General features: G+C 39.3%; 1 protein-coding gene across 14 annotated transcripts in view; it reads right to left on the reverse strand.

Moving 5' to 3' along the window:
• Positions 1-25,038, reverse strand: part of SMG1 (SMG1 nonsense mediated mRNA decay associated PI3K related kinase) — a 121,549-nt gene that overhangs the window by 31,772 nt on the left and 64,739 nt on the right. For 10 of the 14 annotated variants that reach the window (XM_005255184.5, XM_011545769.4, XM_005255182.4 and 7 more), the window contains 20 exons: positions 24,036-24,145; positions 22,925-23,072; positions 22,391-22,550; positions 21,539-21,659; positions 18,025-18,273; positions 16,952-17,236; positions 15,687-15,831; positions 15,436-15,574; positions 13,606-13,836; positions 13,318-13,495; positions 12,586-12,747; positions 11,185-11,402; positions 10,822-10,976; positions 8,798-9,020; positions 5,577-5,823; positions 4,934-5,163; positions 3,067-3,315; positions 1,726-2,058; positions 1,383-1,601; positions 622-812 (listed from right to left, as the gene is read on the reverse strand). In XM_005255184.5, the coding sequence (XP_005255241.1) occupies positions 622-812; positions 1,383-1,601; positions 1,726-2,058; positions 3,067-3,315; positions 4,934-5,163; positions 5,577-5,823; positions 8,798-9,020; positions 10,822-10,976; positions 11,185-11,402; positions 12,586-12,747; positions 13,318-13,495; positions 13,606-13,836; positions 15,436-15,574; positions 15,687-15,831; positions 16,952-17,236; positions 18,025-18,273; positions 21,539-21,659; positions 22,391-22,550; positions 22,925-23,072; positions 24,036-24,145 (3,993 nt within the window). The remainder of the gene's footprint in view (positions 1-621; positions 813-1,382; positions 1,602-1,725; positions 2,059-3,066; positions 3,316-4,933; positions 5,164-5,576; positions 5,824-8,797; positions 9,021-10,821; positions 10,977-11,184; positions 11,403-12,585; positions 12,748-13,317; positions 13,496-13,605; positions 13,837-15,435; positions 15,575-15,686; positions 15,832-16,951; positions 17,237-18,024; positions 18,274-21,538; positions 21,660-22,390; positions 22,551-22,924; positions 23,073-24,035; positions 24,146-25,038) is intronic. The other 4 variants (XM_047433796.1, XM_047433793.1, NM_015092.5 and 1 more) reach the window with 1 other exon arrangement.

Below are 25,038 nucleotides of genomic sequence, written 5' to 3' on the forward strand. Positions count from 1 at the left end.
GCTCCTTGTTCACCTTGAGGGCCCTCCTCAAATGTCCCTTACTTCTCTGTTTTTCCTGACCCTGTGATTCCCTCAACCATGCTCATGACATTTTAATTAAAACTGCCACATCTGCCAAGTTTTAGGTTCCTTGAAGGTTAGAGACTGATGCTTGACAGATCTTTGTAATCTGAGAGCCTCACACAATGCTTGACACTTTCATATTCAACTACCCTTTTACTGAGCACCTGCTGTGTATAAGGTTCTTTCAGTTAATCATCTTATTTAATACTTAGTGAGGTAGATGAAGTAGCTGCCATTGTACAAATGAGTAAGGACTCAAGATACATAATGGTAATGAGAAAACCAAAACCCAGATTTTCTGATTCCAAGTTTTGTGTTCTAACCACTACACCCACCTATCTCCCATAATTAGTCATTCAAACATTTAAGTTAAATATAATAAAAGCAGACAATTTCAGTGAATTTTTGTTTACTAACACTTTGAAGTTGCAGTCACTGAGACAGCTTTTATCATTTATGTGATTTGTTACAATAATTCTAATCCATATTGATGTTTACATGAATATGAAAATTCTAATTAATGGCACATATTTAGAAGAATTCAACACTGTTTTAAACCTGTGTTGCAGAGTATGAGAAGGATGATCCACCCCTTCAGCTCCTTCTAGAAACTCTATTTCCTCCAGTAGTTTGCCCTGCAGTTTTTCCACATCTGTCAGTTGCTCTTGCAAGCTTAGGTATTCATCTAAGCTACCGTCCAACTTGGGAAGCACAACCAGCATCTCATCTCTATTCTTAAACCAGTTCACCTGTAAAAAGATATTACGATTAAGAAGACTCTTACAGGGCCAATTTTGAGACACAACAGTGTCAGAAGAACATTTTGCACATCCTACTTAAATCTCTACAAAACCCGAAAGGGGTGATGCGTTGCCTCCACTGTACAAAAACAACTAATGCGTTCAAGTTTACACAGGCATAAACTGACAGGCTCAATCTCATAATACCATGTATTAATAGTTGCCAATGTCACCCAGAACAAGACTGGCATCCCTGGCTACCAGATAGGGAAGGGAAGCTATCCAATTAAAGAACATTTACAGTCATCACTGGTAAACACATTTCAATAATTAAGAAATATAATTTTTTCAAATCATGAACCCACCTCTTAGGAGTGTGGAATGTAACTGTGCATGTTTGTGTGGAAGAATTACCTAATAAAAAGTTAACATCAAACTGCCATATTTAACTGCCATTTCAATATTATACATTAGTTTTGCCAAAAAAATTAGAGAAACAATTTGCCTCAACATTTTGATGAGCATGTTTACTCTATTAATAAAAAGAAGACAATGACTTATTCCGTCACTGGGCTTCACCTTAATCTCAGCTACTCTAGAAGAAAACAGGCTGCGGGTGATCTCTCGCTCCATCTCTCTCTTGCTCTGCTTGCTCTCGGCCTGCTGGCCACCTCCACCATAGACAGCACCAGCAAACCCAGCCTCGCCTCCTGCTGTCCAGTCCACCAGAGGGTCGTACACAAAGGCCTCCAGCAGCGTCAGCAGGGTCTCTCTGCCACGCCGCATAATGTGTAAAACCTGTTTTCAGGAGAGTTTTTAAAATAAGGTCTGCCACAAGTTTCATCACTAAAGTGTGGTTTTCATTCCACAGGTTTTGCTCATTTAACAAATACACTAAAAGGGAGAAGAGAAAACAGCATACCTGCTCACATGAAAGCCTAAATACACCTTCTACTCCAGTTACACCCAGTGCTGTTTCAATGTTTTGTGTCATTCGAAAAGGTACTTTCTCAGGAACTCTAAGGCTTTTACCTTGAAAAGACAAATCATTATATTTTTGCCCTTTCACCAAAAAACATTTGGCCCTCATAAATGTAAAGTCTACTTTTATATTACCTTTTTCAAAGCAAACATTGTAATCTATGTGAACAACTTCTCCAGTCGTCATATCTATAAGAACATTATCCAGATGTCTGTCTCCAAGGCCAATTATGTATCCAACCATAGACATGACTGCAGTAGATCTTGCATAAGACTAAAGGAAAGGAAATGGGGGCAGCAAGTGAAACACCATTAAGAAATTTCCCTCCAACATGGACGTGATACTATAAAATTTACAAAGCACCATTAACCTACTCCCTTATTTTAAAATAAATCAACAAATAAAAAGCATTCCTCAAGGTTGCTGCATGTGGTTATGCAGGCATACAACACTGTAGACCTGATTGGTCCTAGTTAATCAGCTATCAGGATGCTGGATTAAAAAAAACACAAACAAACAAACTTTTCTTCAGTCTTCCTAGTTTGTCCCTTTCTAAATTTTTTATTCTTTTTTTTGTTTTGTTTTGTTTGTATTTTTGGTTGAAACGGGGTTCAGTGTTGCCCAAACCAATGTTGGGCAGGCTGGTCTCAAACTCCCGACCTCAGATGATCCACCCACCACAGCTTCCAAAAGTGCTGGGATTACAGATGTGAGCCACTGTGCCTGACCTCTTTCTTTTTTTAAATTTAAATATTGATTTTATTTAAAAAAATTTTTTTCCTTCTAACTTTTAGGTTTAGAGGGACATGTGTAGGTCTTTACGTGAGTAAATTGTATGTCACTGGGGTTTGATGTACACATTATTCTGTCACCCAGGTAATGAACATAGTATCCAACAGGTATTTTTTCCTACCTCACCCTCCTCCTGCCCCCCACCCTCAAGTAGGCCCCAGTGTCTGTTGTTCCCTTCTTTGTGTCCATGTGTGCTCAATGTTTAGCTCCCACTTATAAGTGAGAACATGCGGTATTCAGTTTTCTGTTCCTGTGTTAATTTGCTTAGGATCTCCTTTTCATTTCCTCCATAACTCTTTCCCCATCCTGCCCTCGGACACAGTCATGTTCATGCCTTTATAACTGTAATATTAAACTCAAATATACGTCTCAAACTACCAAGTCTGGAGGGACAGAGGAAGGAAGGGAAGGAGGACAAACAAGATAGGCAAGAAGGTAGCAGGCAAAAGAAATACTACTACTGAGTATAGTCTAAAACAAAGCACATACCTGCGTAACTCTCCACCATTCATCAGGTGTTGTGCAAGATGACCAGAGCTCTTTGGCAAGGAGATTCGGGGGTGTGGCCTCCATTAACTCTTCCAATACTGCCTTCATTACATGAAGAGGCCAATCCCGACGGGACACATCCAGGCTAAGCCCAACTGTTTTCAAAGCAGGGCCAATTTTACTGTAATAAAGTTCACTAGGACGGGGTACAATTCCAGGATTCTGAGGAGTTTGGTAGGAATCTTGGGCCTTAAGAAAAAACAATTTTTTTAAAAAAGAAAAGATCAATTTTATATAAGGAAAAAGAGTGCCTTTTGTATGTAAAGTAGAATTTTTAAAAATGATTTTTCAGTAGCATTCTCTCATTACTCAACTAAATTTCATGTATTAATACAAAATAGCTAATTATTCTGGACTATGGATCTTTCTTATGATATATACCTTTTAATTAGGCCCATTCACTTTATTGAAAAATTGGTCTACTGTTTAATTTTCTTGAGGTTCAATTCAAAACTAAACACTCAAGTTACTTTCTTCTTTATAATACAGAATTCAGTTTTAAAATTATAGTTCATAATTTATGCACATACTTCATTCTTCACACACAACTTAATCGTTAATATAAAATTAACAACAGAAATTCAAAAACACATTACATGAGAATTTAGATAGCCCTTCTCTAATTACTATTTGAAATTACCCTTCAATAACAGTTCTGCAGTCTCCTGTGCCTAGGTTTAAAACTTGCCTCCTTTCAAACTCATGCTCTTTTCCCCTACCTACCCTTATCAAAAGCATTTTCTTTAGCTAGATGTGGGATCCTGAAGATAAGACTGTATAAAATTTATCTCAATATCCTAAGAGCTTAGTACTGTTCCTGGCATATATTAAGCACTCAGATACATGGCTAAAATATATTCTAAATTAAACTCCTAGTCTAAATCAAAGCATAAAATTCATAGATACAAAATAGGATGCCATGGTGATTAATTCCAAATTTAAAGTTGCTTCTTATTTACATACATAAAAGAACCTGGGTTTTAAAGCGATTATTTACAAATTTAATTTAAAAGCATGGTAAATCCAATAAAAACACTAAGATGTAAATTATCAAGTTACTGAGTGATGAACAACCACACATTCCCCCTCTCCAAATTTGTCTCAAGTTAAGATAAACCCAATGCCATCACTTTTGCCTCTTATATAACTATTTTTGGCTGGGTGTGGTGGCTCATGCCTGTAATCCCAACACTTAAGAAGGCTGAGGTGGGAGGAATACTTGAGCCCAGGAGTTCAAGGCTGCAATGAGCTATGATCATACCACTGCACTCTAGCCTGGACAACAGAGCAAGACCCTGTCCCTTTAAAAAACAAAACCAAAAAAAAGCAAACAACTTTATTTTTATAAAAGGTACCTCAAGGCCAGATGCGGTGGCTCATGCCTGTAATCCCAGCATTTTGGGAGGCTGAGGCGGGTGGATCACCTGAGGCCAGGAGTTCGAGACCAACCTGAGCAACATGGCAAAATCCCATCTCTACTAAAAATACAAAAATTACCCAGGTGTGGTTGTGCGCCCCCCATAGTTCCCGCTACTCGGGAGCCTGTAGCAGAATTGCTTGAACCTGGGAGGCAGAAGTTGCAGTGACCCAAAACCACACCACTGCACTCCAGCATGGGCGACAGAGCAAGACTGTGTCTCAAAAAAAAAAAAAAAAAAAAAGTACCTCAAAAATACTCTCCTAGGGACCTCAAGTCTTTTCCTTCTTTAACTGCTTATAAACATGCAAAAATGGTCCAGTAAGTCTACAAGTATTTCACATAATAACAGAGAATAGACTAATACACTGTGTAGATGATTTAATCAACCTTTTGTGCTTGTAAGGCAGCTTCCCGTTGTTGCCATCGTTTGTAAAGACCAAATAAGGGTGTGGCTCCATCTACCCACTGGATTAGTCCTGATCTTGTTCCTAGTGGTGTTACAGAATAGTGTCGAGCATGGAACCGGGGTGTTTCTTGGCGATTAATTGTAGCAAACATGGTATTCACAATAGATAGGAACTGCATTATTCTCTCATCCAGATGTAAATCCTCCAGTCCTATGAAAACAAAATTAAAATAGCTAGGATAGGTGATTAAACAGGGTTGGGAGCATACCACTCCTCTTTTTCAACTAGCAGTGGCAGTCAAAAACTGACAGTCCATGAGGCACACTGAGAGCATTAAAGAATTCTATTTTGGGACAAGATATTGGCAGTAGATATTAGCATTATTAGCTGTACCTCACTTGTCCTGCTTGTACAAGTTCATACACAAAGTGGGGGTGGAAAATCTTTCTGCACGGCATCCAATCACTGCCGTTCAAAAGCACATAAGATATAGGGCACTGCAGGCTAATAATGACATACAGAAATTCGCCTGAAATAATCTCCTACTATACACACCCACACTCACACAAAGCATTAGTAAGACTAATACTCTTCTGAAAAATGGAGGAAGTCTTAAATCCTACCTTTGAAAAGATAAGGATAGCTCTTCCCATCTGATCCAAGAAAGAGAAGTTTCTTTGGCTTGGTTTTAGTCGGTAAGATTGTGATGGTTCCGCCCACACTATGGATTGTGACAGTGTCTCTGGCTGAGACTTCCCCAGGAAGAGCAATTTCAGTGTTAGTCATGGCAGCCAACCATGGACTGATTTCTTCAAGACGCAAGATGTAACTTGCACGTTTCTGTGCTCTCTGTTGCAAACTTAGCATTATCTATATTCATAAGATGGGAGAAACAAATTTACATTACATTAGAACACTTATTTTCTTCCACATTCAATATGGCATAAAAGTAAATTTTAGGTCACGGCGGCAGCTCATGCCTGTAATCCCAGCACTTTGGGAGGCCGAGGTAGGCAGATCACTTGAGTTCAGAAGTTCAAGACCAGCCTGAGCAACATGGCAAAACCCCATCTCTACAAAGAATACAAAAGTTAGTCAGGCACAGTGGCTCGTGCCTGTAGTCCCAGATACTTGGGAAGCTAGGGCAGGAGAAGAGGATCACCTGAGCCCAGGGGGCAGAGGTTGCAGAGAGCCGAGATTACGCCACTACATGCCAGCCTGTGTGAGAGAGGGAGACCCTGTCTCAAAAACAACAACAAAACTAAATTTTAAAATCCACACAACTATCTGCTGTTCTTATTTCTACATTTAACTCAGTACTGGGATCTGGGCCATCCTGGATGGGTTAACGCTGGTGGCCGATGTGCATTACAGGATTCTTTGTTAAGACTCTTTCTTTTCCTCTGTCCAAACATGCAGTGAAATCACAGGAGATAGAAGGAAAACACTGCTGTGATCATCACCCAATTAGGGGCTTTTAGCAAACTATTAATAATTCCCCAATGTTGAGCTATGTATGCACAACACCAAAACAATCCAGTCCTTGCAATAGGTACAGCTAGCAGTCGGCTGTCAGGTCGACAAAACTTTAAAAAGCCACCTGCAAAGTTATTAACCTTAAATTACAAGAAAAAATGAGGCTCAATCTACTCTTATCAAACTGGAGTAGAGGAAATTTGGTGGATCTCTAAGAGACTTAACAAAACTGAAGAAAAGACAAAGACAAGTAAGAACATTTTTAACAGAGAAGTAACCATTTAGGTCTGACCACTTGAGGTTTGCAGAAAAGCCCTATAATACTTTCTAATAATCACAGGGAACAGACTGTATGTACAGTTGTGTTGCTACATGCAGCAAACTCAATAATATGCACCCAAATTAACAAATTCTGGACTCCGCTTCCATGTGAAAAAATGTAAAGCAATTTTTAGCAAGCTCTGTTCATAAAAAGAAAAAAACCAATTGGAAACACCCCAAGTGCCCAATGACAAAAGAATAAATTGTGGTATTTTCATATAATAGATCATTGTTTAGCTACACAAACACACACACAAAAATTGATCAATTATTTTAAAACTTAATACCAATCCAATATGGCAGTAAAAAGAAGTAGACGTACACACAATATGATCTCATTCGTAGAAGTTCAAAAACAGGCGGAAACTAAACAGTGTCATTTAGAAATGCATCTGTAAACAAAAACTATTTTTTAAAGTAGATAGTGATTAATTAAAACTCAGAAAACTGGTTGTGGGTGGGGAGATAAAATTAGGGAGAGAAGTGGGACTTCTATAAAGTTTAATTTCTTTAGGTAATTCCTTTTTTTTGAGCTGTACTATATCTAAAAGAGAGACACAGGTATTCTTAATTTTTAAAATTATTCTTTAAATGTACAAAATCATTTTAAAAATTTTCTATGATTATACACACACACACACACACGTGCGCACACAAACAGGGTTTACAGGGTTTCCTCCTATATCCTCTTCTGATTTTCTAATTTGATTTACTGAAAGGGAAACAAAGAAACAAGAAACTGGTCTTAGAACACAAGGAAACGCAGGCCGGGAGCAGTGGCTCACACCTGTAATCCCAGCACTTTGGGAGGCCGAGGAGGGTGGATCACTTGAGGCCAGGAGTTCGAGACCAGCCTGGCCAACATGGTGAAACTCCGTCTCTACTAAAAGTACAAAAATTAGCCAAGCATGGTGGTGTGTGCCTGTAATCCCAGCTACACGGGAGGCTGAGGCAGGAGAATCACTTAAACCCGGGAGGCAGAGGCAGCAGTGAGCCAAGATCGTGCCACTCACTCCAGCCTGGGCAACAGAGACTCCATCTCAAAAAAAAACAAACAAAACAAACAAACAACACCCCCCCCCCCCGCCCACCTACACACACACACACACACACACACACACACACACACACACACACACACGGAAACTCGAGTTTTGGCAAGAACACATAATAAACTTCATCCTTCTCTCACACACACACACGGAAACTCGAGTTTTGGCAAGAACACATAATAAACTTCATCCTTCATGTTAGTTTTCTTTCTTGTACTTCTAGCTATTTGCTCTGAATTTAGCACCTTGCATTTGCTAAAGTTGGCTGTACTTTTTGTTTCTACATGTATCTTTTAATAGCTTTCTCACTGCTCAAATTCAGTAAGGAAATCAGTTAGGAGCAATAAAGGTAAGAGACAGAGAAAAGAGGGAGGGAGAAGGAAAAGCTGGAGCTACAAAGTAATAAGCTCCCCCAACTAATGGTGTTATTTGCTAGAAAAGATAAAGACCTAAGAGAATATAGAATTAAGAAAACCAAAATATAAAAGATAAGGATTCTCAAATATGTGAATACACTAATCATCCCACGCAGCATATGTGGAATTGATTCCAGAACTACTTGTAAAACTTTATGTTGTTATAAGCGACTATTTTATCTGTTAGAAATACTGAATGCTCTCCTTGTGAAAAACTACATAGGCACAAAGTTAAATTTCTTATCTTTAATGAGGTAAATAAAGCAGGCAACCAATATTTAGCTCAGGGTCACAGCCCCTTCCTTGGCTAATTTCTTCATCTGTTGTTCACTGGTGTGAGCCTTCCATACATGAAAGATTGGGCACCTTTGCCGTCCATCCCCCTTTGCCCACTGATTTCCAAATTCTTAAACAGAAACACTTTTTTCTATGTTCCTTATAAGCAACTGGCCACAGGCTGCCTCCTATAGGCTTATAAAATCTCTTACATTCCAAGTAAGAAGTCCACTTATTGAAATTTCGTATCTCATGGGAACTGTGATGTGCCATTTCAGTAGCATGCTTGGGATTATTCTGTACCTCTTTAAATGGAATCCAGCTGCTCCCAGGCTTTGCAGGGTTCAATGGAGTCTTCAGTTTTTCTAGGGCATTTTCAATGGCATCACCATAGTTATCCTGAAACCATTTTTCATGAGGTGTTTCTGCAGGAGCCGCTGTGATACTCCTCACATGCTCCAAAGCAAATACGATGGGCTTCATCAAAGCTGTGTGCTTCTCCCTCATGATTGCAATTTTCTCTTCTCTGACCAAGAAGACATTTTTATTCAAAAACTTAAATGTGTACATTAAAGTTTTACACAAACATGCAACAATTTCAATATATCAATTGTTAAGTAAACAGTACCAAGGAATAAGTCTAAATAAAGCAATAACATATTCACAAAGTAAATTACTAACAAAGAATTTTTGGTTTTGTTTTTTTTTGGAGACAGAGTTTTGCTCTGTCACCAGACTGGAGTGGAGTGGTACAATCTTGGCTCACTGCAACCTCCACCTCCCGGGTTCAAGCAATTCCTCTGCCTCAGCCTCCTGAGTAGCTGCGACTACACACGCGCGACACCACGCCCAGCTAATTTTTTGTATTTTAGTAGAGATGGGGTTTCACCATGTTGGCCAGGATGGTCTCGATCTCCTGACCTCGTGATCCGCCCGCCTCAGCCTCCCAAAGTGCCAGAATTACAGGTATGAGTCACCGTGTCCAGCCAAGAATTTTTTGTTTTTTAAAAAAATGCAGCTCATAAAAGAGGCAGCTCCTCTTTTCAATGAACTAAATGATACAAGGAAAATGTGATATCAACATGCAAAAGAATGAAGCAATAACTCAAAATGGATCAAAGACCTAAACTTAAAAGCTAGAACTACAAAACTCTTAGAAGAAAACATAAGGGAAAGGTTTCATGACCCCAGACTTGGCAATGATTCCTTGGATATGGCACCAAAAGCACAGACAAATTAAATTGAGCTACATCAAAATTAAAACTTTTGTAAATCAAAAAATACTATACACTATGAAGAGAATGAAAAGACAACCCACAGAATGGCAGCAAATATTTGCAAATCATGTATCTGATAAGGGTTAGTACCCAGAATACATAGAGAACTCCTACAATTCAACAATAAAAAAACAAAAAACCCAATTAAAAAATGGGCAAAGGACTTGTAATGACATTTCTCCAAAGATAGGCAAATGGCCAATAAACACATGAAAGGAAGCTCAACATCACTAGTCATTAGGAAAATGCAAATCAAAACCACAGTGAGATACCACTTCGCATCCATCACAACAGCTATTATCAAAAAAAGAAAAGAAAAGAAGTGTTGCCAAGGATTAGGAGAAACTGGAACCCTCATGCATGGCTAGGAGGATTGTAAAATGGTGCAGCCACTGTGGAAAAGTTTGTTGGCTCCTCAGTAAGTCAGACGTAGAATTGCCATATTGCCATACGATTCAGCAAATCCACTGGATCATCCACAAAATATACATGAAATTCACAAAAAATAATAGAAAGCAGAGAGTCAAACAGATACTCATACACCAATGTTCACAGCAGCACTGTTCACAGAGCTAAAATGTAGAAGCAACCCAGCTGTCCATAAACGGATGGACAAAACGGTATAATCATACAGTATTATTCAGCGATAAAAAAATGAAATTATATCACGTTACAACATAATAAACCTTCGGGCCATTATTCTAAGTATAAAAAGCCAAACACAAAAAGATGGATAGTTTATGTTTCTACTTCTATGAGGTAGCTAAAATAGGCAAATTCATAATAGAGATGGCAAGTAGAATAGAGGTGGCCAGGAACTGAGGTGAGGGGGAAATGAAGAGATAATTTTTAATGAGTACAGAGCTTCTTCTGCTTAATATAATGAATAAGTTCTGGAAATGGACCGTGGTGATGGTTGTACAATATGGTGAATGTATTTAATGCCACTGAATTGTACACTTAAAAATTAAAATAGTAAATTTTATGTTATTTATACTTTGAAACAAAGTGGCAGCTTCACTGTCTCAGGACAAGTGTATGGAAACATACTTGCGTAAGGTGTTGTTGTTCTGGACTCTCTTCACCTCATCTTCAAGCTGCTGAATTCGTCTCAGGACATACATGTGTTGTTGCAGCAAAACTCCCAGCCAGAGCTCATCCCAGAGCACAGTGACCCTGCGCAGTTCAGCCACGAGCATCTGAACCTGCATACACAGCACACCCAAATAGCTCATCTACAAGCCTATGCACAGCACAGCTCTTCAAACACTGGACTTTGTAAGTTAAGTGTGTGCAATTGGTGCTCATTATACAATTGGAGAACCCTGACCAGTGATTGTCAATACAGATTGGCAAAAGCAATTTTTATTATTCTATAAAAAATTCTTCTACAACATGTGAGTTTCTTTGTACCTGTAATACCATGGTGGGGTTTGCAGAGGACAGCTTATCTACAATTTTGCTGTAACAATCCTGCATCATGGCTTGGTCTTCATTTAATCCACTTTTAGGTTCATCCTTATTGCTATCCTGAGATGCAGGAGGACTTCCTCCCTCACATTCAGAAACCAGCAATTCTTCTCCTTGAATATTGCCAAGTAAAGTTGGAATTGCAGTGGAAAATTTATTTCCTGTAATGAAATAGGAGAACAAGGAATATTTTGAACATTTCTCCCATGTGCATATGCTAGGTTAGGGAAAACACTGATAATCTATTTGACTCAAGAGCACTCATTGAACTCATTTGCCTTCCAGGCATAGAACTGATTAAAGATTGTGGATATTCTGCCTTTTTATAGGTTGAGCTTTCATATTTATTAATATTATAAGCTAATGGAAGATACAAAGGAGAAAGATAATGAGTGTTTAACAAATAATGTATTCTTCAAGCCAGAGTTCAAAACTTGGTATAATCCTTTTTTTTTTTTTTTTGGAAACAGGGTCTAGCTCTGTTGCCCAGGTTGGAGTACAGTGGCACAATCTCGGCTCACTGCAACCTGTCTCCTGGGTTCAAGTGATTCTTGTGCCTCAGCCTCCTGAATAGCTGGGACTACAGGTGTGTGCTACCATACCCAGCTAATTTAACAGAAACAGGGTTTCACCATGTTGTCCAGGCTGGTCTCAAACTCCTGGCCTCAAATGATCCACCCTCCTCGGCCTCCCAAAGTGCTGGTATTACAGGTGCGAGTCACTGCTCCTGGCCAAAAATTGGTATAATTCTTATCCATCAGTAACAGCTCAGTGAGCCTGGCAGAGGTACTCCATTTCTCCACGTCTTGGTGGATTACTGTCAAGGCTACAGATAATGTGTAAAGCACATGTCCTGGTGCCAGATACATAGTAGTTACTCCCTCAATAAATGCTAATTATTACTATTAAAAAACCTACAGCCGGGCACGGTGGCTCATACCTGTAATCCTATCACTTTGGGAGGCCGAGGCAAGTGGATCACGAGGTCAGGAGTTCAAGACCAGCCTGGCCAAGATGGTGAAACCCCGACTCTACTGAAAGTACAAAAATTAGCTGGGCGTGGTGGCACGCACATGTAATCCCAGCTACTCGGGAAGCTGAGGCAGAGAACTGCTTAAACCTGGGAGGCAGAGACTGCAGTGAGCTGAGATGGTGCCACTGCACTCCAGCCTGGGTGACAGAGTGAGACTCCATCTCAAAAAAAAAAAAAAAAAAAAAAAAAAAAAAAAAAAAACCCTACAAACTCTAACAACTCTGGAACATAAAGCTTAAAAACTTTGACCTCACTAAAATTATTGGCACAGTCATTTATACTCAAAGTAGCAATATTTGAATATTCCATACCTGAAGCCTGGGATTCACTACTAAGCGATATGGTACCCACTATTGCAGGATACAATATGAGATGTGGGGAATCTTGAGCCACACGGCAGAGAAGGTTACAAATACTTTGGCGCACATACACTTCAGGGTGGTTTAAGCGTGAGAAAAGTTGCGGAATAATTCCTTCAGGACAAGAAGAGAGAAAGACACTTTAAAGTTATTTAAAACTATGAAGAAACTATCAGCATCGTAGATCAAACAGATAAAACGTGATGTGTGTCGGCATTAGTACGGATTTTAAGAGTTCAAATTTCTCCCTGTGATAATAAAGAACCATACACAATAGTTCTTGATTCGCAAGTCTGGTTAAGGTTGGTTTAGATACAGAGCTGTAATCAAAGTCCAGGGCAGCTCAAAAATGTTACGGAGAAATGTATCTTCTGTGAATGCCTACAAACAAGGCAGGCACAGACAATTTTTACAGAGGGTATATAAAACCTTTTGAAAATTTTTCACCACCCTCTCCAAAACTCATTTTGTATATAAAAAGCTCCTGCCTTTCAGCTTCCCATTTCTTGGAAAGGTGGGAGGAAAAGTCCTAGTGATGTAACAAGCAGTGCAGGGTGTCCTAGGAAGTTAATCTGGCTATTCTTTTTACACATTCAAATAATAAACATAAGGAAACCACTTTTTGAAATCTTATATATCCTAGTGAGAAACTATTTTTCCTGAAACATTTTATGCAGGTCTCACCTCTCCATGGTGCAGTGGGTGTTGTCTCCAAGCCGTGCTCCAGATACTGCCGAAGCTCACCAGCATGCTTCACGAGCAACCGCAGCAGGCGCAATGTGGCCATCACAATCATGTCATCAGTGCTCTGTTCCACTCTGTGACTTAAATGCAGCCTAGGGTCATCCTCATCTAAAGGAATCTAAGAGTGAAAGATGAGGGGAATAAATAAGAAAATAACTCAGAACACTACTTTTGTTTAATAAGAAAAAGTTTCCAAAATAAATTTTCTTAGAACACTGTGCTACATACTTGACCAGCGTTGAGTTTAAGGAAAGTAAAGTATGCACTGCAAGAGAGTTTGTACAGGCTGAATATTCTATCTACAACTTTCCTCCACACTTTAATAACTCCTTCAGTTGCACTTTCATCAAGTTCTGAAAGCCATGGGCAGCTTGATATCAACTGACGCCAGATAACATCAACCATGTCATCTTCTTCGTTGTCTTCACTCTCAGTTATCTGAAGTGTTATATCTTCATCCTGAAGAAAAATTGTGCACAAAATGCTATTTTAAATACAAACTGAAAAGGGAAAAAGGTATGTAATTTGACTATCATAAAAAATTCTTCTCATATATAAAAGATAAAATTATCCCACATTTAGTGTTATACACAGTAAGTCAATGTCAGTATGCTTCTCTTTATGATATATTTACTAATATGAAGCCAGTGAAGAAGAATATAAGCATTTAGCAAAGACTAGACTTTTCTGGGGTTTCGTTGTACTTTAAATGCTTCCAAGTTACAATACAGTATTCTACCTGCAGAAATTTTTTTTTCCTTGTGACAAAGTCTCACTCTGTCACCCAGGCTGGAGTGCAATGGCACAATCATGGCTCACTGCAACCTCTCTGCCTCCCAGGTTCAAGCAATTCTCATGCCTCAGCCTCCTAAGTAGCTGAGATTACAGGTGCCCACTACCACGCCCTGCTGTTTTTTTGTGTTTTTAGTAGAGACAAGGTTTCACCATGTTGGCCAGGCTTGTCTCAAACTCCTGACCTCAGGTGATCCGCCTGCCTCGGCTTCTCAAAGTGCTGGAATTACAGGTGTGAGCCACCGCACCCAGCCTATGCCTGCAAAAAAAATAAGCACAATCTGCTCAAAAGTTTGAAGCTGAATGTACACAGAATACATATACTAAACCTCATTCTCTTCACAGTACTGTGCATGTATCAGACACCAGCTTAGGGAGAGACTTAGATACGCTGCTGTTTACAGCAAGAACTGATCGATATAGCTTAGCTTGGCAAATAAAATCCATGCCTTTGAGGACTGCAACTAAATAATATATTGCTTTGGCATTCTAGAATTGACGGAACTCTGAAGGGAGAGAGTGTGAATTATACAGATCATCTAGTCCATTTTCAACACTGGCTGCACATTAGCATCACCTAGTAAGTTTAAATACACACACACACACACGCGCACGCGCACACACGTCTCATTCAGAGTATCTGGGAGTAAGTTTCGTGCACTGGCATATTTTAAAAGCTCACAACCAAGGATTAAGAACTTACAATTTCTGATAAAAGTAATTAAAAAATAAATGTAATTTACCTAAAATGAACTTCACTTAATAACTTTTTTTTCTTTTGAGACAGTCTCACTCTGTCACCCAGACTGGAGTGCAGTAGTGTGATCTCACTGCAACATTCAAGTGGTTCACCTGCCTCAGCCTCCCGAGTAGCTGGCATTACAGGCATGCACCACCACACCCTGCTAATTTTTGTATTTTTAGTAGAGATGGGGTTTTGCCATGTTGGCCAGGCTGGTCTCGAACTCCTGACCTCAAGCGATCCACCCACCTCAGCCTCCCAAAGTGCTGGGATTACAGGTGTGAGCCACCGTGCCAGGCCAACTCACCTATTTTTAACAGGACTCTAAGGAAATGCCTTATTTTCTCAAAAGTATATTCTTCTTAGAAAAATATAACTCACTTTCATCTTAAAATGCAGAAGTTTTTATTTACAACAACAATTGGTAAGCCCCATTCAGTATTTTATCAAATATATATGATCAATTTTCTCAAAATCAATGATTTGGAGTAGCAATCTTGCCCCAAGCACCATGTTTTCCTTGCCTGAATCCCCGCCGGCCGACACACAGCCTGTCCAAGAATACCATATATTCTCTCTTTCTCTTCCTCAGTTATAGTGTCTGGAAGTAGATTCTGAACTTCAGATTTTTCTCTAGGCAGCAGACGAACACCTTCTCCCTGACTATAAAAATAAACAAGTCATCAGTATTTCAGCTACCCAAACTTTACCATATCAGCAGACATTTAAATATCTATTTATGCAATGCATAAATAAACTACACATTTAAACATACCTGGCATTGTCAACCACCTTTCTGCCCCACCTATAAGCCCAGCTGGCCAACGCTGCCCAAGATTTGGCTACTTCAGGTGCCTGTACTGAAGACAGGTGATACAACTGTCCCAAAATGAAGTCAGGTTCTCCAACTCCAATATGCACTGCCAAAATGGACAAAAAAATAATTATAATAAAAGAACTCAACAATGTTACATTCATAAATTCCTAACGACATTTCCATTAGCATTTTAGGTTTTTATCTGCAAGCAATCAAAAGTTCCAAAATATTACTGTACATAACTTGAGAAGGCACAAATATGAATTATGTTCTCTAAAAGGTTGGTATGTTGAAATGAATTCATTAGCTTCCCAAGTAAGATTATATTATCTCCTGTGGAAGACATCAATATCTTTCATGACACTGAACATTGTAAACAGTCAGGTGTCAGCTGTGCTGTAGAATGTCTTGCATTATGAATCGGACTGGCTATTTCCTCATGATCAGATTCACTTTAATCATTCTGGCAAAAATAATAAATAGGTGATGAGTATACTGTTTCATTCATACAGACTCATGAGGCAAACATCTTTATTCCCTTGTTAAAGGTGAAGACACTGCCTGCTATAGTGCATCTGACAAGATGAAGATTTATAATGACCACAAGACATATCCTTTATGAATATCAAGACTCTATCAAAATTATTAACACCAATGTAAGTAATTAAACTCTTAGGCTTCAGAACAACAAAATGAAGGTATATTCTCATGTTTCAGCAAAGAAAACCATCTCCCAAATTTTCTCTCAAATTTTAAAAACAGGGGAATTATGCCTTCCACAACAGGCACTCAAACATGGACAGAATCAACTACCCTATTTGTAAGGTATCTTTGTGTTACTAGCACTAGCACCAGAATGGGAAACTTGAATCTTTATATAGTTTCTGTGTTCCACCAATCAATAGGAACACAGGTAACTATTTTAAATCTTTGTTGCTCCTTCTATTGTGAGGTGAAATTTTTTGATATGAGGGGCAGGATCTTATTGCCAGCAAAAACATCTAAGTCCATAAAAGCAAATACCTGGGGGCAGAGTTCAGTGACTCCCAAAATGGCATTCGATCCTAAATATGTTTTAGTTATTTCCCAACAATAAAATAAACTCAACTTCCACAGATATACTTTTTATGGAAAATTATAGCCAGCATAACATTATAAACTTTAAAACAGAAAAAAATATAGCTTCTAAAATTAATATTCTAAAGCTAATAAAGCAACTCTACCTGTAGATTCACTCTCGATCCGAGGATACTCTTCTTCCATCGTATTAACAGATGGCAGTTCTATTAGAGTGAGTATGTTTTTAGACAAAGTAGAAAGACCTGTGAAGTTCTGTTGGTGCTGAGCTCTGTAAACCTGTTTCAGCTGTCCTGAAATCTCTTTCCATTCTGCCTGGATCCATTTAGCCAGTGTCAGAATTGATTTAGCAACTGCATATTCAGCTTTCACAGACTTGCAGAAAGATATGGCACAAGAACTCAACATTTCCATTGCATGTGTTGACTGGCCTACAGAAAACCACAAAGTCAGAACTTAGAACCTTTAAAAGCAAATGATGGAGGGAGGCACTTGGATTAGGAAACAAATATCAACATGGTGATGACACCACCATGTTGATGGTTTCAAACTCCTATGCTCAAGCATAGGAGGCTCCTACTGTCTTAGCCTCCCAAAGTGCTGAGATTGCAGGCATGAGCCACTATGCCTAGCCAAAATACTAAACTTTTTTTTTTTTTTTTTTTTTTGAGGCAGGGTTTCACTCTGTCACCTAGGCTGGAGTGCAGTAGCACAATCAGGGCTCACTGTAGCCTCAACTTCCCAGGCTCAAGCAATTCTCCTGCCTCAGCCCCTCAAGCAGCCGGAACTACAGGCATGTTCCACCACACCCCCCTAATTTCTTTGAATTTCAGTATAGCTGAGATTTCACTCTGTTGCCCAGGCTGGTGTCAAACTCCTAAGCTCAAACAATCCTCCCATCTTGGCCTCCCAAAGTGCTCAGATTGTAAGCATAAGCACCTGGCCCAAAATAATAAAGTTAAAAAAACATGTAAATTCAGTGACCAATGATCTCCGGAAATACTTCTTACTGTAATACATTGCAACAAAATTCTTTTGAAAGCACAGAATTATAAAGGTAAGTCAGTAATAAGCAACTTATTATTCAGGATGCAAATGTTCTGCAACAGCTGGAAATGATCAACTTTGCTATTACTACCTTATACCATACATACACAGTAACATTCATATACATGATTTTTATTATACTCATGTATTAACCATAATTAATTTTACTAACCTGCTGTATAAAGCAATTTGGTTTTTTCAATATCAAGTTCGGGCCCCCATTTTTCATCCACTTGACCTTGGGTTGATAGTTTTTTAAAATGTTGGACTAAATCCTGTGCAGTGGTGGTCTTTCCCAGCTGAACTTCACTGCACTGTGCCAGCAGTCTTGTTGCAAGGGACACATTCCCTCGTTTTCTAGCAAATTTTGCTGCTGTTAGACCTAATTCCATGAGATGGCTTCTAATTGGGACTGTTTGTTCTGAAGAGAGGAAAACGTTTTATTAGTTCCTAATTTGTCTAAACCAGACTGCATGGAAACATGGCCAAAAAATTATTCCCCAACTATCCCTCTTCTGCACCACCTCCTGAAACAAAGATAACTCATCCTCAAATCCCTAGCAGCTAGCACAGTGCTTGAGATACAATGAACAGGTTTTGCTAAATTAAATGTATACAATGAAGTAAAGTCAAGTCATTCATTTCAAGAAATTTCTTTTTAGTTTCTGAATCTTTGGCAAAAAGCCTGGGCCAACGGGTAGGGAAAGCAAGGAAGCAGGGAAGGCTAAACCATCCCCCCGCACTTCTTCTGTAAGTACTCTCTGCCCTTCCACCATTCTCCTGGTTTTCTTCCTATCTTGCTGAAGAATCCTCAGTCTCTTTCTCTTCCATCACTCATCCATTAAACACCAGTGCTCCTTGGACTCAGTCCTAGGCTCTCTACTTTTCCCACTGCATACTCTCCCTGGACATCATCATCTTTTCCTGTGTCTTCAATTACCACAGAAATGCTGACAACTGCTGAATCTTCACCCAGACCTGATATCTGAATCCCACCTGCCAACTGGTCATCTACACTCTATTTATTTCAAGAGTGCTTCCTCTAATGTCAGTCATGCCAAATGGAGCTCATTTTCCACCACCCTCCAAATCTTTTACTCCCTTTTTCCATTTTCCCCTTCTCAAGGAAGGGCACAGGATGAGCCGGCTGCCTGTGAAAGTACTTGGCCACCATCACAGACTTTACTTTCAACCCTCATGGCCCATTTGCTTTTTTCTTTCCCTACTGCCACCCTAGTTACCCTCTTTAGCAGAGACTTCAGCATAACTTAGGTCCCTTTGACCCCATTCTTATACTCTTCTAATCCATTTTCCAACTTGCAATTGAAGTGACATTACACAAGGGTAAATCTGAACATTTCACTTCCCTGCTTAAAAGCCTCTGATGACTTCTCACTGACATTCTGACAAATCCCAAACTCCTGAATTCAGCTTGTTACTGATGCCTTCCAGCATTCAATTCCAATCTCAATCTCATCCAGCGCTCCACCTCTTCCTACTCTCTCTTAGGTGAACTGAGTCAACTAAGAATCATTATTTTCTCTGGCCTGCACACGTTTTTTCTAACCAAGTCAGCCTGCCTTCTTCCTCATCTTTATCTTAACTCTCAGCTTAAATGTTACTTCCCCACAAGTCTTTTTCTGATTCCTAGGATTAAATCAGGTGCCCTCGTTATTTGCTGTTCCTTCTTATTTTTTGAGACCGGGTGTCACTCTGTCACCCAGGCTGGAGTGCAGTGGCATGATCATAGCTCGCTGCAGCCTTCATTTCCCAGGCTCATGCTATCCGCCCACCTCAGCCTCCTAAGCAGCTGGGACTATAGGCACATGCCACCACACCCAGGTGATTTTTTTTTTTTTTTTTTTTTTTTTGAAATAGAGTCTCACTCTGTTGCCCAGGCTGGAGTGCAGTGGCGTGATCTTGGCTCAATGCAAGATCCGCCTCCCTGGTTCATGCCATTCTCCTGCCTCAGCCTCCCAAGTAGCTGGGACTACAGGCACCCGCCCCCACGCCCAGCTAATTTTTTTGTATTTTTAGTAGAGATGGGGTTTCACCGTGTTATCCAGGATGGTCTCAATCTCCTGACCTCGTGATCCACCCCCCGTCAGCATCTCAAAGTGCTGGGACTACAGGCGTGAGCCACCGCGCCCAGCCCACACCCGGGTGATTTTTTAAATTCTTCTAGCAGAGACAGGGTCTTGCTATGTTGGGTCACCGTGTTTGATGTCAGTTTTCCCTGCCAGAATCTACAATCTCCTTGATCACCATTATATCACAACGTAGAGCTCAGTACCTAGTACAAAGCACATTTGATCAATACTTGCTGAATAAAGAAATAAAAATGAAGAGGCACTCCAGCCTGGGCAACAGAGTGAGATGGTCTCAAAAAAAAAAAAAAACAGGACTGGAAAGGAGATGAGGGTACTTGTGAAGCCATATTATATGACACGCTCTGTGCTAGGACTTTTATATACCTTGTCTCATCTCTTCATCTCATATAATCCTTACAAGTATCTCAAAAGTGGGGAAATCCCCATATAACTGAAGAGGAAAGCAGTTCAGAAGTTCACTGATTTGCCCTAAGGTTCCTCAATTTGCAAACATCAGGCCAATGATCCAACCCCAGGTATATTTGGCAGTGAAGGACCAGTTGAGTCACAGCTTCAAGTAACCACTCTGCAGTGGTCCCTATCTTGGCTGTTAGCTTACATTGACATTTAACACTCAAATTTACTCAGTAACACCAGCTATCATGTTTTCCACTAAAACTGCACAGCATTCTGGCAACTTTTCTATTTTAGAGCAATAAAGTAAATTGTTAGCATCCCTTTGACATATAAATATTTATACAAATAGTAATTCTCTAGCCATTCATTTGGAGTATTTAAAACTCAATATTCATAGCGCATTTTACGTGACAAAGAACTTAGGTTCAGAACACAAAAATAAGTCTTATGTCTTCATTAAAAATGGGTGAAGAATTTGAACAAACATTTGCAAACTAAAATACAAATGAAATACACTCAGCATCATTAATCAAGAAAATGTAAATAAAATTATGAGATAATCACTAATAATCACTACATATGCACCACAGTGATTAAAATTTTTTTAAGTTAAGCTACGTGACCCAACAAGGTGCATTCACTCGAGAGAAACACAAATATACGTCCACTCAAAGACTTGCACATGAATGTTGAGAGCAGGTTTATACTGAATAGCGCAATGTGAAAAAACCCCAAAATCTAGCAAAGGATGAAGGGAGAAATAAACTGGGGTATATACATACAATAGAACTCTACTCAATAATAAAAAGGATTGTATTCCTGATACATGCAATATGGGTGAACCTTAAAAATATCATGTTGAGCAAGAGAAGCCAAACACAAGAGAACATGTTGTTATGATTTCACGTACATGAAACTTTAGTAAAGACAAGTCTAATCCATAGTGACAGAAAGCAAATCAGTAACTGCTGACAGGGGCAAATGAGGAGATGATCCCAAGGGAACCTTCTGGGGTAAGACGGTGTTCTGTATCTCGATCGTATTGGTGGTCACACAAGTGAAGACATGTTAGAACTCATCAAACCATACACTTAGAATGTGTAATATAAACCTCAATAAAGCAAAATTTAAAAAAAGAACACCTTTAATTTTCTCTTACAAGAAAAAAAAACCACTTACCTTTAATTTTCTCCAACAACTGATTCTGGTACATAGTATACCTTAATGCCTGCATCCATGGCCTCACGTCATGCTGTTTACATGAACGTAAAGCTTCACTGAAGAGTGGAATAAGACAGTCCTGCCAGAGAAAAACCAAAATTACTCAACATAAAACAGGCTGTTGATATGTTTGCAGATATATAGCAAGTCTTAAGTCCAAGACTGCAATATAGTTTGGCTACTTCAGATTGATTGCAGTAGTTTTATCTATTACACTATACCCTTACATCATTTATCTTCTACTCACAAGAGGCAAGCACACAGTAAGAGAAAGCCTTTTGTTTTGAAGGGAAATCTTCTTCAGAATATTAAGTCTAATTTATCAGTATACTTAATAAAGCACATTACAAAAAAAAAAGTCACAGCACATTTACTATAAAGCAGACTGCAGAAAAACATTACAACTAATGCTTTATAATGAAGTTCTCGAAGATCATCATTCATTCAGAAGCCCCCATCTCTGGTTGAACTTTACCCCATTTAGGATGAAGAGGAGAGATCTTTGTTTGCAGCAAATCTAAAATTTACGTAATCCGCCTAAAGGAACTGTCTTTACATACACCACCTCCCACCCCGAAATTAGAAGGAAAAAACTGAGCAATTTGCCATCCTTGAGATTATCTCAGGTTCTTCCATCTGCCCCATGTACTTCTCAAATGAAAAACTGCCTGAAAACAGCATGTTAGATTTCTGGATCTACTAGCTTGCCCAGCTACAAATCCTATTTCAAAAAACTAAAAAAATAAGGTCTTTGTTCTACAGTAATGACCATTAATAGTCATAAGAGTGTGCTTGTAAAAATATACAGACCTCTGTTGAAAGTCTGTTAGAAACTGTGTTCTCCAAAGCAGATGAGCAATACAGCTGCAAGGTACTTAGAACTGGCAAAGACTGTGAAACTGTTAAAGTAGAAAGTCTCAGAGGTCCAATAGCGATGCGGGATGTTTGCTTCAAGTACTTTACCACATTTCTGAAACAAAATATTTACTGCCAATTAATAAAAATTACAATTCATAACCACTCAAAGAATAAAGCAATTGATAAGATGCTATCAAACTGACATCCAAAGTTAGGGGGCAGTAAGAGGAGCAGCCTGCTCTATAATAAAATGATATTAGCAAGTCAAGACATTTGCTTTTGGGGATTTTTACATTTTATTTCATTTCAACCTCAGTTTATGTTGGCAAGCAGCATTCATATATCATATGACTTCTACAACTAAAATGAAGCTATTAGCACTAGTATTTAGTAATCTAGTAACTCTCCTTCCAGCCCTCTTCACCCCATGTATGTTTATCACATGATATACACAATGTACATTTACCTCCGTAAGAGTAAACTTACTCAGTTATAGACTGCCACTTCTGATCTTGTTCTATCGGGTTTAAAGCAGTTGCCAAACAAACAGAACTTCTTAACAATTGAACTTCAATGGATTTCTGAAGTTCCCTCGGATCCGGACTTAACATGTTAGGAAGCAGTTTTTTCATGTCTACCAAAGTTAAATAAAACGTCATTAAGTTCATGTGCTTTTATTATAAATTTTGATTTATGTTTGGCATTATTAAAAACTAATCACCAATGAACAGCTCCTTTAATATTTAAGGCAGTTAAACACTATAAGCATTACTGAGAGCTATATAAAAATCATACTTCATACAAAATTACTGTACCTCAGACCCCTAAAAAGCAGTTGCCTTCAAAGGCCAAAAATCAGTAAGTCGAGGCCAGGCGTGGTGGCTCACGCCTGTAATCCCAGCACTTTGGGAGGCCAAGGTGGGTGGATCACGAGGTCAGGAGTTCAAGACCAGCCTGGCCAAGATGGTGAAACCCCGTCTCTACTAAAAATACAAAAAATTACCTGGGCACGGTGGCAGACACCTGTAATCCCAGCTACTCAGGAGGCTGAGGCAGGAGAATCACTTGAACTCAGAGGGCAGAGGCTGCAGTGAGCCGAGATTGCGCCACTGCACTCCAGCCTGGGCAACAGAGTGAAACTCTGTCTCAACAAAAAAGAAAATCGGTAAGTCAATCTACTATTTAAGGGGACAAATCTAGACCTGCATTAGCAAATCTTGCTCAATCCAGAATACTCATTAAACTTTTTAATAACATTTTATAAAGTGTTCTATTTGTGATAAATTAATGAGCCACATCAAGATGAAAATCAAGAAAAATATTTAGCTGAAACACTACTTTGTCCTTTATCAAACAAAATGGCTAGATAAATCTCAAAGTATTAAGGTGGTCATTTTTTTTATTTGACTTAATTTTAAGTGCTTTTCATTTCCCAAATCAAACATAAATAGGGCAGCCCTAAATTTGTTGCTTCACATGGGATTCTGCCCCCACAAAAATGTAAAATAACTTCCAGATTTTCCAGTAAAATATACTAAGCCAAACATTTTGAGCAACTTGTCCACTAAAATAACTTTAAAACTATTTTCTCAAATACCTATTTTTTCTTTTGATCCTCCAGCAAGTAGATTGATATTTTCTCCTGGTAACAATTCTAACTGCTCGGTACATTCAACAAATTTTCCAGACTCAAAGCTGCTTAATGATCTGTAATTAAAATATTGGTTAGCTTGTATTCCTATGCAGCCTGTGGAACCATTAAAAAAAAACAAACAAAAACAGAACAAATCCTAGGAAGACAGCAAAGTACACAGCATTTTTCTGACAAAATTCCTTCCACGAGGATGCCATTATTTTGGTTTTTATGTTGAAGATGTGACTACCACTTAATTAGTACTCAAATTGGAGTGGCAAACCAGAAAGTCACAGCTACAGACTTTCAGTGGAGCTGACTCGCCCCTGTGTCTCCTTCCTGTTTTCATGTGTTGCAGCCTGTTCTCTTCAGATCCTAACACACTGACAGTAGACCTCTGCAGGACAACTTTGACACCCAGTTCTCTCCAAGCTGCCAGTGAGCTCCCTGTGCAGCCTCACTCCTCACCTACAGCATGAGCCCTTGCACAGCTCTCCCAGCATCACAATCTTGTATCTCAGTCCTGGCTTCTTTCACTGCTGGCATCCCTCCGTCTCTCCCTTTTTCACCTACTTCTCTTTTTTCAAAGACTTCTTCTCTTTCATCTGCTTATATGAAAAATAATGACACCTCTGAAATTCTTTCCTGTAGTCCTGCAGCATCAATGCCAGGAAGACAGGCCTCATCCTCCCAGCTTCTATGCTGCTCCTTTCAGATCCCTTACCCTGTCCCCATTTTCATGACACGGGCTCTCCAGCCAGGAAGAAGACACTGTTTCTCACTCTCTCTCTTTTCCATCTTTGCCTGTCCCTCTCGCTGTGTAACTTCCCTTATAAATCAGCCTGAGGCCAGTGCTAGAAAGGCACATCACCTGACTTATTCTGTGCCTGATTCTACCTAGATCCGTGCAACCACTGGCTTCTCAGGGGGACCCTTGAGTACTGGGCACTGATGAACTGCTGCCAAC

This window comes from Homo sapiens, chromosome 16 (genome assembly GCF_000001405.40).
Source record: "Homo sapiens chromosome 16, GRCh38.p14 Primary Assembly".
Classification (NCBI taxonomy): Eukaryota; Metazoa; Chordata; class Mammalia; order Primates; family Hominidae; genus Homo; species Homo sapiens.